The sequence below is a fragment of the Homo sapiens genome, chromosome 19 (assembly GCF_000001405.40).
Source record: "Homo sapiens chromosome 19, GRCh38.p14 Primary Assembly".
NCBI lineage: Eukaryota > Metazoa > Chordata > Mammalia > Primates > Hominidae > Homo > Homo sapiens.
In genome coordinates this window covers 6,238,686-6,251,966 of record NC_000019.10, presented here as the reverse complement: position 1 = coordinate 6,251,966, position 13,281 = coordinate 6,238,686, and the positions used below count along the sequence as shown (strand labels likewise).

At 50.2% G+C, this 13,281-nt stretch overlaps 1 protein-coding gene across 6 annotated transcripts in view, besides 2 other annotated features; it reads left to right on the top strand.

The window, feature by feature from the left end:
- MLLT1 (MLLT1 super elongation complex subunit) overlaps positions 1 to 13,281 on the top strand; it is a 69,595-nt gene that overhangs the window by 28,009 nt on the left and 28,305 nt on the right. The window lies entirely within an intron of this gene.
- Positions 7,754 to 8,468: an enhancer, noted in NCBI's record as "H3K4me1 hESC enhancer chr19:6243510-6244224 (GRCh37/hg19 assembly coordinates)". NCBI's record gives its function as "activates a minimal SCP1, AML or CMV promoter by ChIP-STARR-seq in naive H9 embryonic stem cells {active_cell/tissue: H9 hESC(naive)}" and the evidence as "EXISTENCE:reporter gene assay evidence [ECO:0000049][PMID:30033119]".
- Positions 11,616 to 12,117: an enhancer, noted in NCBI's record as "H3K4me1 hESC enhancer chr19:6239861-6240362 (GRCh37/hg19 assembly coordinates)". NCBI's record gives its function as "activates a minimal SCP1, AML or CMV promoter by ChIP-STARR-seq in naive H9 embryonic stem cells {active_cell/tissue: H9 hESC(naive)}" and the evidence as "EXISTENCE:reporter gene assay evidence [ECO:0000049][PMID:30033119]".

Sequence of the window (13,281 nt, the reverse complement as noted above, 5' to 3'; positions counted from 1 at the left end):
TCTTTTTTCTTTGTGGTGGAGTCTCGCTCTGTCACCTAGACTGGAGTGCAGTGGTACAATCTCAGCTCACTGCAGCCTTGACCTCCTTGGGCTCAGGTGATCCTCCCACTTCAGCTTTCCGAGTGGCTGGGACCACAGGTGCATGTCACCATGCCCAGCTATTCATTCGTTCATTCTTTCTTTCTTTTTTTTTTTTTGGTGGGAGGTAGAGATGGGGTTTTGTCATGTTGCTCAGGCTGGTCTCGAACTCCTGGGCTCAAGCGATCCTCCCGCCTTGGCCTCCCAAAGTGCTGGGATTATAGGCATGAGCCACTGTGCCAGGTCCTCTAGGTATTTCTTAATTCAGTCAAGTTGACATCTAAAATTAACCAAAGCCTGTCATCTGAGTTTGGTTCTTCTTTATTCTTTTTTCTAACTCACTGTTCCTTTCTTTTTTGTAGCACATATGTGGATGTGTGTTTACTTGTCTGTGTGTCTCTACCACCCGAAAGTAAGCTCAGGACCAGGGCTCTGCTTTTGTTCTCGTCTGGCGTCTAGCATGGAGGTAGCACTTGCTAAATATTTATTAAATGAATACTAAATGGATGAACCAGATTCATTCCAGAGGGGGCTAGCCGTTGTATGTCCAAATATCAGAAAACCTCCTGGCACAACCAGTGAATAAGTGCCGCCGCACCCCCATCCCCCCAACCTTTTTAAGAATGGAGGTGAAATTCACGAGATGAAATTAACGATTTTAAAGCAAACAGTAAGTAAAGTGGCATTTAGTACATTCACAGGGTTGTACTACTGCCGTCTCCTTCTAGTTCCAGAGCAGTTTCATCACCCCGGAAGGAAACCTTGTGCCAGTAAGCAGCTGTTTCCCGTTCCCCCCATCGCCACTGTTCCTGGCAGCTACTCATCTATATTGTGTCTTGGTGGATGGGCCTATTCTGGCAGTTTCATATAAATGGAGTCATATAGTACGTGACGTTTGTGTCTCGCTTCTTTCCTTCTTTCTGCCGTATTTGTGAGTTCATCCGTGTTGTTGCATGTATAAGAACTGCATTCCTTTTCACGGCCAAGTAACATTCTGCTGTATGGCTGTCCCACACTTTATCCATTCATCCATTGACGGCCATGCAGGCTGTTCCCACCTCTTGGCTATTGTGAATAAGTACGGCTTTGAACATGGCTGTGCGTGTATGTGTTTGAGTACCAGGTTTCAATTCCTTTGGGTATACAGTTGGCCCTCCATATCCATGGGCTCCGTATCCATGAATTCAACCAACCACAAACAGAAAGCATTTGGAAAAAAAATCCACAGAGTTCTAAAAGGCAAAACGTGAATCTGCCAGGGGCCGTTGAATCCACGTGAATGCAGTGATGTGTAGGCATTGTATTCGGCATGATGAGTGATCTAGAGATGATTTCAAGTATATGGGAGGGTGTGCATAGGTTATCTGCAAATGCTGCTATTTTATATAAAGAGATTTGAGCCTCTGCAGACTTTGGTATCCAGAGGGTGTCCTGGAACCAATCCCTCACAGTTCTGAGGGATGACTGTATACCTTAGAGTGGAATTGCTGGGTCATATGGTAATTCTATGTTTAATTTCTTTGAGGGAGTGCCAAACTGTTTTCACAGCAGCCAAACCATTTTATATTGCCACTAGCAACACACAAGCATTCCAATTTCTCTACATCCTCAGCAACATTTGTTATCTCCTGTTTTTTGTCTGTTTTTACTGATAGCCATCCCTGTGGGTGTGAAATGGTATTTGTAGGTGGTTTTGATTCACCTTTCCCTGATGATTAATGAAGTTGAGCATCTTTTCATGTGCTTATTGGCCATTTGTATATCCTGTTTTGAAGATACGTCTATTCAAGCTCTTTGCCCGTATTTGATTTGGGTTGTTTTTCTTTTTGAGTTGTAAGAGTTTTTTGTCTTTGTTTTTGTTTTTTTTTGAAACAGGGTCTCACTCTGTCACCCAGGCTGGAGAACAGTGGTGTAATAACAGCTCATTGCAGACTCCACCTCTCCCCTCAAGCAATCCTCCCACCTCAGCCTTCTGAGTGACTGGGACCACAGGTGTGCACCACCATACCTGGCTAATTTTTGTATTTTTGTAGAGATGAGGTCTTGCCATGTTGCCCAGGCTGGTCTTGAACTTCTGAGCTCAAGCGATCCGCCCACCTAGACTTCCCAAAGTGCTGGGATTACAGGCGCGAGCCACTTTGCTTGACCGGGTCCTTTATATCTTCTGGATAAGTGCCTATTTTTAAGCATTGACAGTAAAGCGCTTGCTGGGCAGACTGGATGTGTGATGGGAACTTCCCTGAGCTGGGGGCTCCAGCTCTTCAAGGGGGGATCCGGGTGGCCTCCCTCCCATCACATGCGGCCTCGAGGCTTCTGCATGCTGCGGCTGAACTGTTCTTTTGGAAAGTGGCCTTGACTGTGGGCTGGGAGGACATGCTGGGGCTGCCCCGGGACAAGGCAGTGGCCCGGATGAATAAATCGGTTCCTCAGTGCACTTGGCCCAGTCAGATGAGGGAGTCTTGTTTAAATGCTCTCTTTGTATCTGTTTGTTGTCCTGGAAGTGGTCAGAGATATTTAAAGCCCTTCCTGTTCTAGTGAGTGAGTAACATCTCAGACCCCGGGCTGTCCAGTAGAAATCTTAATTATTATTATTATTATTTTTTAGCCGCGTTAAAAAAGTTCAAAAGAAACAGGTGAAATTAATTTTAGTAATTGGGTTAACTCAGTGTATCTAAAACATTATTTCAACATGTAATCAATATTTTTTAAGTATTGAGAGATTTTACATTCTTTTTTCATACCAAGTCTTTGAAATTCAGTCTGTTTATTATACTTGCTGCACGTCTCAATTTGGATATGGAAACGTCATCAGAAAGGCTTGATCTGTATTTAGAGTCCATAAAATTCACAGTTGAACAAAGAAGTAGATTCACACACCCAAGCTGCTCCAGACGCATAAAAATCTTCGTTACTGAACCGAGTATGGTTCCTGACTGGGAATCTCTCATAGTTACGATTTTTTTAATTTGGAAATAATTTTAGACACAGAAGAGCTGCAAAGATAGTACAGAGAATTCCCATAGGACCTCCCCCACAACCCAACCTCCCTTAATGTTAACATCTCACATAACCATGGTCCAGTGATCAAAACCAAGACAGTAGCATCAGTACAATCGCCGTGAACTAAACTAGGGACTTGCCTTGGGTTTCCCAGTTTTCAATTCATGTTCTTTTTCTGTTGTGGAACCCACCCCAGGATGCTGCACTGTTGCCTGTGTCTCTTTCCTCAGTCTTTCATGACCTTGATATCTTTGAAATGTGCTAGTGGGGTATTATGTAGACTCTCCCTCTACTTGCCGTTTTCTCATGGCTAGTCCGTGGCTATAGAGTTCCATAAGAAGACCACAGAGGTAAATGCACTTCCTCTTCCATCATATTAGGAAGTGCCAGATATTAACATGATCCATGGTTAACAGCCGAGGTTGACCTTGATCTCCTGGTTAAGTGGCATCTGCCAGGTTTCTCCACTGGTTGTTGCTTAGAAGAAGCAGGTCACTAAGTCCAGCCCACACTCAAGGGAGAGGAATTAACCCCTCCATCCTGGTGGGCGTAGGTTAAAAACACTACAGTTACTAATACCCATTTTGGGAGAGATACTTTGAAGCTGTGCAGATAACCTGTTTTGTTTTGTCTGTTTTTAAAAATACAGATGGAGTATCCCTAATCCAGAAATCCAAAATAAAAAATGCTCCAAAATCTCAGGCTGGGCACAGTGGCTCATTCTTGTAATCCCAGCACTTTGGGAGGCGAAGGCGAGTGAATCACCTGAGGTCAGGAGTTCAAGACCAGCCTGGCCAACATGGCACCCCGTCTCTGCTAAAAATACAAAAATTAGCAGGGCGTGGTGGCGCACGCCTGTAGTTCCAGCTACCTGGGAGGCTGAGGCACAAGAATTGCTTAAGCCCAGGAGGAAGAGGTTGCAGTGAGCTGAGATCACACCACTGCACTCCAGCCTGGGTCACAGAGTGAGACTCTGTCTCACAAAAAACAAACAAACAAACAAACAAACAAAACACCAAAATGCTCCAAAATCTGAAACTCTGAGCACCAACAGGACACTCAAAGGAACTGCTCACTGGAGCATTTTAAATTGCAGATTTTCAGATTAGGGATGCTGAACCAGTAAGAATAATGCAGACATTTGAAAATCCAAAAAAAGATCTGAAATCCAAAACATTTCTGATCCCAAGCATTTTGGATGAGGGCTACTTAACCCATAGTACCACCCACTAATTTTAGCCTCCCCCAGTGGTGGCCTACTGGTAGTTTTAATTTCCTCCTTCCTTTCTACATTTATTAACTGGAATTTTTCAGTAAGGAAGAGCCGTCCCTTCTCTTCCATTTATGTATTCAGTTATTTGTATCAACACGGATGGATTCATAGGTATTTGGTTTTTCTTTGGGGTCATAATCCAGTCTGTTGTTACCTGTTTGTTATTGAAATTGTTCTCGCATTCGGGCCTGTCATTTCATGTTCCCATGGTTTTGGGGGTGCTTTCACATTCTGGCACCACAGGCTCACCGTGTATTTCCCTGCCCCAGCCCTAGAATCTTCCGCTGCTCCCAGGAGCCTTAGTTCCTGTTGCTGGAAAATGGTATTTAAAAGCCAAGATCTGGGAGCTAAGTGTGCTCACTGCTGCTTAGTTGTCACTGCGTTTAGGTTCTCTCATATGACAGAGCTAGGAAACCACCCCCACCCTTTACATCTGTGTTTAGTTCTGTATCTATCTGTGTAATATGAAAACAAACGTACGTTCCTCTGAGGCTGCCAACTCCATCCAGCACCAGCGGGCTCATTCACGCCTTCCCCAGTTGCTGCCTTGTAGCTGTCTCTGAAGGGGGAAACCTGGCTCCCGATATCTGTACTGTGTTTGTTTACCCGTTTAATTCCAGGATACCCGGAAAGTAGTTTCAGCATCAACAGCCAGCCCTCCTGTGTTGGCAGCTAGGGCTCAGCATTGGCGTGCAGCTCTTTCTGTCAAGTAGGAACGCTGCAAGGGTACAAGGTTATTTGTGGCAGCCCTTTCCCTGGGGTGGTCATGTCATGCATTTGTAATACAGTTAGCTTCGTCAGTCTCAGTTGCATTTCATCTTGGGTCTGCCCCCTCTGCCCATCCGGTTATTAGTTACTGATTTCTTAATTTGTATTCCGTGACGTTTACTCTGGGTTCAACATGCAGAGAGTCGTGTATCTACCGGGACTCTGCCTCCCCCACTCCGATTCCCACTTGCTGTCCCTTTGAAGTCAGTCCCCCTCCCCACCCCCAGCCCTTACAACCGCTCATCTGTTTGCCATTCTTGTAGTTTACCTTTTCCAGATTGTCATAAGACTCAGACAATATGTAGCCCTTTTGTATCTGGTTTCTTTCACTTAGCAAAGCGCACTTAGATTTGTCCATGTTGCCATATGAATGAATCTTCGTGTTTTGTTGTGTTTTTTCGAGGAGTGTTCCGCTGCATGGGTGCCTTACGGTTTGTTTATTCGTTCACCTGTTGAAGGACGTCTGTGTTGTTTCCAGCTCTTGTGATTATGAATAAGGCTGCCCTAAACATTTGCATACGGGTTTTTTGTGTGACCACGTTTTCAGTTCATTTGGGTAAATGAGTGGAGATTGCTAGGTCACATGATATGGGTCTATTTAACTTTTTAAGAAACTGCCCAGTGGTTTTCTTCTAAAGGGGCTGTGCCATTTTGCAGCCTCATCAGCAGGAAGAGTTCCCGTTGCTCCAAATCTTCGCCAGCCCTTGAATATGGTCAGGTTGTTTTCCTTTTTTTTTTTTTCTCTTTGTTTTCTTTTTATTTTCTTTTTGAGGTGGAGTTTTGCTCTTATTGCCCAGGCTGGAGTGCAAAGGTGCGATATCAGCCCACTACAACCTCCACCTCCTGAGTTCAAGCGATTCTCCTGCCTCAGCCTCTCAAGTAGCTGGGATTACAGGCATGAGCCACTGTGACCGGCCAACTTTTTGGGTTTTTTGTTTGTCTGTTTTGAGACAGGGCCTTACTGTGTCGCTTAGGCTGGATGGGGTGCAGTGGTGCAGTCACAGCTCACACAGCTCTGTCTCCTGGACTTAAGCAGTCCTCCTGCCTTAGCCTCCCAAGTAGCTGGGACTACAGGTGCATGCCACCACACCCAGTGAGTTTTTCTTTTTAAAAAAAAATTTTATTTGTTTATTTTTTGAGACGGAGTCTCGCTCTGTCGCCGAGGCTGGAGTGCAGTGGCACAATCTTGGCTCACTGCAAACTCTGCCTCCCGTGTTCATGCCATTCTCCTGCCTCAGCCTCCCAAGTAGCTGGGACTACAGGTGCCTGCCAGCATGCCCGGCTAATTTTTTTGTATTTTTAGTAGAGACGGGGTTTCACCATGTTAGCCAGGATGGTCTCGATCTCCTGACCTCGTGATCCGCCCACCTCGGCCTCCCAAAGTGCTGAGTTTACAGGCGTGAGCCACTGTGCCCGGCCCTCACATCCGGTGAGTTATTAAAAAAACTTTTTTAAGGGCTGGGCACGGCGGCTTATACCTGTAATCCCAGCACTTTGGGAGGCCGAGGTGGAAGGATTGTTTGAGCTCAGGAGGTTGAGACCAGCCTGGGCAACATGGTGAAACCCCATCTCTTTAAAAAAAAAAAAAAAGAAAGAAAGAAAGGAAAGATGGAAGAAAGAAAGAAAGAAAGAAAGAAAGGAAAAAAAGAAAAGATTTAAAAAAATTTTTTTTTGTTAGAGAGTCTCACTATGTTGCTAAGGCTGAGCTCAAACCCCCAGCCTCAAGTGATCCTCCTGCCTCAGCCTCCCAGAGTGTTGAGATTATAGGCGTGAGCCAACACACCTGGCCCCGTTCTTTATTTAACTTTTTGAGTAACTGCCAGACTGTTTTTCAGCAGCTGTGCCATTTTACATTCCCCCCCAGCCGGGTATGAGGGTTCTGATTTTTCTACATCCTCACCAGCAACTCATTTTCTGCCTTTTTGATTATAGCCGTCTGTCCTAGTGGGTGTGAAGTGGTACCTGGTTAGGTTTTGATTTGCATCTCCCTGACGGCCGACGGTAATGAGCATCGTTTTCATGTGCTTATTTGCAACCCATATATTCTCTTTGGTAAAGTATCTGTTCAGAATTTTGCCCTTCCCTCTCATTAAAAAAAATTGGGTTAGCTGTTTTCTTGTTGTTGAGTTTTAAGAGTTCTGTATATACTCTGGATACAAGTCCTGTACTTGGTATATGAGTTGCAAATATTTTCTCCAAGTCTGTGGCTTATCTTCTCATTCTCTTAATAGTATATTTTTGTCTAGCAAACGTTTTTTATTTTGATGGACGTCTTACTGTTGTTTTTCTGGCGAGTGCTTCTGGTTTTGTGTCTGAAACCCTTTGCCACACTTGAGGCCCATGCCTCTGTTTTCGCTGTCCGCTGGCGGCATGCACCAAGCCCACTGTTGAGAGAGGCGGGGGAGACTGTCAAAGGGTAGTGGGTATCTAGTAAGGGAGGCCCTTGTCATTTATTCTTCGCAAATGAGGGTTTTTTTTTTTTTAATGTTCGTTTACAGTGAGGAGGAGGAATTGCTTTTCTTCCATTCTTTGCTGGAGTTTCATGGATTTCTTCATGTGTCAGATATTTACCAAGTCTAGGCCCAGTGAAGACCAAGTGAACACGTTCCCCTCTCTTGTGGAGTTCACAGACTGACAGGGCAAGAGACGGCAGACACACGGGAGAGGAAGTGACCCATCAGAATGAGTTCCAGGAAGCCCAGGGGCTGGGTGCTATGAGTGTGTCACGGGGACCCAGTTAGAAAGGGTCGGTTGGGTTCTCTTAAGAAGCGAGATTGACTTCTTTTTTTTTTTTTTTTTTTTTTGAGGTGGAGTCTTGCTCTGTCACCCAGGCTGGAGTGCAGTGGCGTGATCTCGGCTCACTGCAAGCCCTGCCTCCTGGGTTCACACCTTTCTCCTACCTCAGCCTCCCGAGTGGCTGGGACTACAGGCGCCCGCCACCATGCCTGGCTAATTTTTTTGTATTTTTAGTAGAGAGGGGGTTTCACCGTGTTAGCCAGGATGGTCTCGGTTTCCTGACCTCGTGATCCACCTGCCTCGGTCTCCCAAAGTGCTGGGATTACAGGCGTGAGCCACCGTGCCCGGCCGATTGACTTCTTCTTATGTGAGGCTGAGAGGATGGGGTGGTCCCTTCTAGGGGGAGGGGCAGCTGTTTGAAAGGCAGAGTCCAGGTGATGAAGCGGGGCTGGGGCGAGTGTGAGGGAGGTGAGCTGGGTGGGCAGAGCTGCTCATCCGCTGGGGGTGACATGGTGGCATTTGCTGTTAGATCCTGCATAAGGGGTCGAGTCCTCTGGGTTCACCTGCCTCTTTGGGCGTAAGCTCTGTGGCCGTGGCTTCAGAAGCCCCAGCCAGGTGCCTGTCCCACGCCTGTCCCATGATGTTCTGGAGTAGGTCAGTGACATTATAATGCAGACCTGGCTCCATCTCTCCCAGAAGGAATTCAGTGGCTGCCAAACAGGAAGTGCTTGTCTGTGCCCTGGAGTCAGTTAGGAGGCAGGGTGAGGGCCTCGGGAGGGGCTGCAGAGCTGACCTGGGAGGCTTTGATGCCCTGGTCCTGGGCAGGGCAGGGGCCGGGGGCTGCCGGCCTCCCCGAGCCTTCCCGGGGTGGGGGCCCCCACTGACATGCATGGCCCTGCTCGGGCTGGGACTGGCTCTCGGGGTCTCTTTCAGCTTTACCGCTTGGTGACCCCGCCACGTTCCCGCTTTACGTTCCCAGCAGACTTTAGCATGGTTGATTTTTGTCTTGCTTTGTTTTGAGGCATTAGCCAAGATCAGCAGCTGGACTCAGGAGCTCTTCTCTGAGGCATCATTTGATGTGACTTAATTTCCTTGGCAATCCTTTTAGCTCTCACCTTTGTCGCTTTCATGCCAGTGCTGGCTGCCAAGTAGTCCTGCGTTTCTGGCTTGGTGTGCTTGGCAAAACCGAGAGGGGCAGAGAGAGCTGCTGTCAGATGGGGAGAGGGGTCATCTGAGATGACAGTGGCCTGCTTTCCTCTCCTGTGGCCGGTGTCGGCTCGCAGCCCCCCAGGTGCCCTGTAGATGCAGTCACATGAGGGGATGCTGGCCGGGGCACTTGTTTCTATTGAACCCGGTACCAACAGCACCAGGAAAGGGGAGTGTGGCTGTTTGGGGCGGTAAAACTTGCCCTGCCCCTGACGCCAGATTCCTCTTCCTTCAGTCTAAGTCTCCCGTGACTTCAATTGAAGGAACCCGTCCTGAGAGCAGGAGAGAAAGCACATGAGGGGTACACACTGATTGTGAGAGACAGTCCAGTGTTAGAAATGGCCAAGTGTGAAAAAGAAGTTTATTTTGGTTATTTGCCACTAATATTAGACCTCCTCCCCAACCCCTGCAACAAGCTGTCATTGGACAGGGAGCCACAGCCATCACCAGTCCACCGTGGCCTCCCACACGCAGATGTCCGAGGGCACAGGAAGGGCATTACGTGGAGAGTTTTAAAAGTAAGTTAAACCGCACTGGCCTCATAGCCTTAAGACCCTCAGAGGCATCTTCCTGACACATCCTGGGTGGCTTGTGTTGGGGGGCCCTAGGCAGTCGCACATGACAGGGGAGGTTCCAAGGACACCAAGCCGGGGTGCCCTCCATAGCCGCCACCCTCTGTAGAGTGGAGATGGCTCTTAGCTGCAAATGCTGCCCTATATGGGTTCCACTTGGGCTGCCCCTGCGTGCGCTCAGTTTGAGACTGGGGAGAGCAGGTCTTGAGGCAGGGAGGCTGGGAGGCAGGGAGCCCCCTCTGAGCCCCCATTGTCTTCTCCCCTTGCCCCTGACCTGCTGGCGCAGAAGCGGAGCAACGCTTCTGCAAGCAACTCCCTCCCTGGCTCCCAGGCTCCCAGGGCCTTGCAGAGTTCAGGAGGCGGGCAGCCCCTCTGGTGAGCCCATAGAGCGCTCCGCCAGGGACAATCGGCCGGTTGATGTGGCCGAGGGGGAGGCCTTGGCTGGTGGATTGCCGAGGGAGCCAGAACAGAAGCCACATTGTGTGCGGGGACCCAGGGCAGGGCCGAGCTGCCGCGTTGTGACAAGCCGCATGGATGCGTGCCAGCTGTGGCGCAGTCTGTCTTTCCCCAGAGCATCCTTCTGTTCCCTGAAGTGGGTCCCCAGATGCATCTGTGTTTCCTAGAGGGCGGGTCTGGAGCCGGGCAGAGAAGCACAAGGAAAGAACGAAGGTGCCCATCGCTGCAGGGAGAGAGGAGGTGCTGCGCAACCCTGCGCCCGCCACGGCCACCCCAGGACCTCCAAGGCTGGGACGGTGGGACGGCCCAGAGGCCCAGAATGCCTTCTCCTGGGTCCCTAGAGAAGGGGCTGGAAGAATTGGCTGGGCATTGAAAGCGCCCATTATGTTCCCCAATTTCCTATCTCGGCATGTACCTGATAAAATTCTTTCCTGGCTTCTCTGAGGCCATCTTTCCGACTGTTTGTGCCTCCTGTACAGGACGAAGGCATCTGCCCTGTGGCTCCCAGAGCAGGGAAGGTGCTGTCCAGCGGGGGTGCTAGGGGCCTGGCGCCCTGGAGCCCTGAATGGACCCTGCCTCCAGCTGGACTCTGCCTGGCAGTGGCTTGGGGGACACGGGCTCTCGGGATGGGGCGGGGGTCTAGGAGCTGTGGGTTCCGGCGGCCTCAGTTCAGGGTAGAGAGAGGCTGTCCTCATACTGGGCATGAGGGAGGCAGGAGGCCCCGGGACTGACCACTCGCAGGTCTCAGCTCAGCTGCTCTCAGCCTGGCAGCATTGGGCCGGTGACTTTCATGGGCTCATCTTGGGGATACCTCCTCCTGTCTTCATTTGTTATGGTCCAGATTTCAAACTGCCATTTTACAGGTGTTTACGTTGCTGGCTGCTTTCTGCCTTTTCTGGTGTCAGACTGAGGAGAAATCATTAAGTTTGGCTTCCAGTTAATAGAAGCCAAACTTTAAGTCTAAAAACGTCTGTTTCCATGGAGAGCATTTTAAAATGTGGTGTCTGCATTTCTGCCTCCTCCTTTTGGTTTCTAATTGCTCATCGATGCAGGAATTGATTCTGGTTATCGGAAATGCGAAGCACAGAAGGACGCAGGGTAGGAACTGGAGCTCCTCCCTTTTCCTTCCCTCTGCCCCTGAATTCTCCTGCTGTCTCGGGAGGTTCGTAGCTGAGTGTGGGGTCCAGTCTCTCCCTGTGCGTCTGACATCACCCCCACAGCGCTTTTGAATCTGAGAGCTGTAGGGTTCCGTGGTGCTCTCAGTCTCGTGGTTTGCTTTCTTCTCCCAACGGTGTATCCCGGGGGTCTCTGGGCCAGCGTGTGATGAGGAGTAGCACTTGAGTGCCTGTATATGGGGTGGGTTCTGCCTTTCCCACTTCACAGGTGAGGACGCTGAGCACAGATGGGCAACGTCACCTGCGCCGGGTGCCAGCTCCGCTTGGAGCCCGCCCTCTGCGTCACCTGCTGTGTCTGTCGAGCTCCTTCCAGTGGCGGCAGCGTGCTCCACAGTGGAGTTTGAAGTTCAGGGGTACAAGAAGAAAACTCCCCCGCCTCCCCTGACCAGGGCCAGCCTCTTCCAGGCAGGCCTGTAGGTGGCTGGCTTTCGCTGTTTCACATGGGGCTGCAGGCCCTGAGCACATGTGTGGGAGGGGGCGGGGCCTCTGGGGTCTCCCTGGCCTCCCAGGCTGAGCGGTCAGGCAGGCGTGAAGGGGCCTGGGCTAATGCTGCCCACACTGTCCTCCCAGCCAGAGGCACCGGTGGCCTTTCTGCCTCTTTCCTGTTTGATTCCTGCCTCTCTCTGAGGCTCAGAGAGGTGCAGCAGCCCGTCCAGGGTCACACAGTGAGCCAGTGCTGAGCCGCTTCAGCATCCAGGAGTCCTCTGACTCCTGGTCAGAGGTTTTCAGCCCACATGGTGCTGTTTTACCTAAGCCTTAAAAAAAAAAAAGTTTTTCTTTTGATGACAAAGCCAAGGTGATATATGCAGATTACAAGGAATTGAAATCCTCTCCATGATAAGCAATGTTTGTCCTGCCAAAACAGTTCTCTGTGTGCGTGAGTCTGAGTGTGCATGTGAGTGTGTATGTGTACAGGTGTGTGGATGTGAGTGGGTGTGTATATGTACATAGGTGTGTGTGTAAGTCTGAGTGTATGAGTGTGGGGGTGTGTGTGTACACGGGTGTGTTTGTGTGTGTGTTTGTACACAGGTAGGTGAGGGATGAGTATGGACGTGTATGAGTGTGTGTACATGGGTGTGTGGGTGGGTGTGTGCATGTGCATGTGTGAGTACACAGGTGTGCATGTGGGTAAGTGTGGGTGTGTGTACGCATGCGTGTGTGCATGTGTGGGCGTGAGTGTGACTCACACCTCTGAACTCCCTGCCCGTGGCCCTCCGGCGTCAGCACAGGCCGCTGTGCCTGGTTCTGGCCAGGGTCCATGTCGTGTTCCCTGGCATTTGTGTCAGCTGTCATTTATCTGACTAGGGGGGACATTTGGCATCTCCGGGTCTCCCTCTGCAGGGGTGCCTCGGTGACCCCTCGTACGTTGGTTTATACTCTGTGGGTATTTCGGTCGGATCGCATCCTGGACGTGGGATTTCAGGGATGAGGTTGTTTGCCTCTTGGGCGTCTTTTTTCCACATTTCTGTCTTCCCTTGCTTTCTTGCCGGACTGTGTGTCAGCCCCATTCCAGTATGCCGTGGACCGGTGAACGCGAGAGCCTAGTGCCTTACAGCTGTGTCCAGAGGAGGGGCAGGGCTCTGTGGACGCGAGAGGCTTTTCATGTGTGGACTAGTGGGTTTGGCACTTACTGGTTCTGTGAGGCTTCGGTAAATGGCCAGATGCCACGAAACCTGAGCTTCCTCTCCTAGCAGCTGGTGAGAGAGTGATGCCCTCCTGGAGTGTTGGTGTGGACTGACTAAGGCGTGGCGGGGTAAGGCCTGTGGCCCCACACCCAGCCCCACAGGGCTCGCTGCCTAGTTCCAAGGTAGCCGCCTGAAGCAGAGCAAGGCGTTTGCTGCTGGCCGGAGAAGGCCCTGGCGGAGGAGGCGTTTGGCTGCTGGCCGGAGAAGGCCCTGGTGGAGAAGGCGTTTGCTGCTGGCCGGAGAAGGCCCTGGCGGAGAAGGTGTTTGCTGCTGGCTGGAGAAGGCCCTGGCGGAGGGCTCCATCTGGGCTCCATGGCGGGGACTTGCCTGGT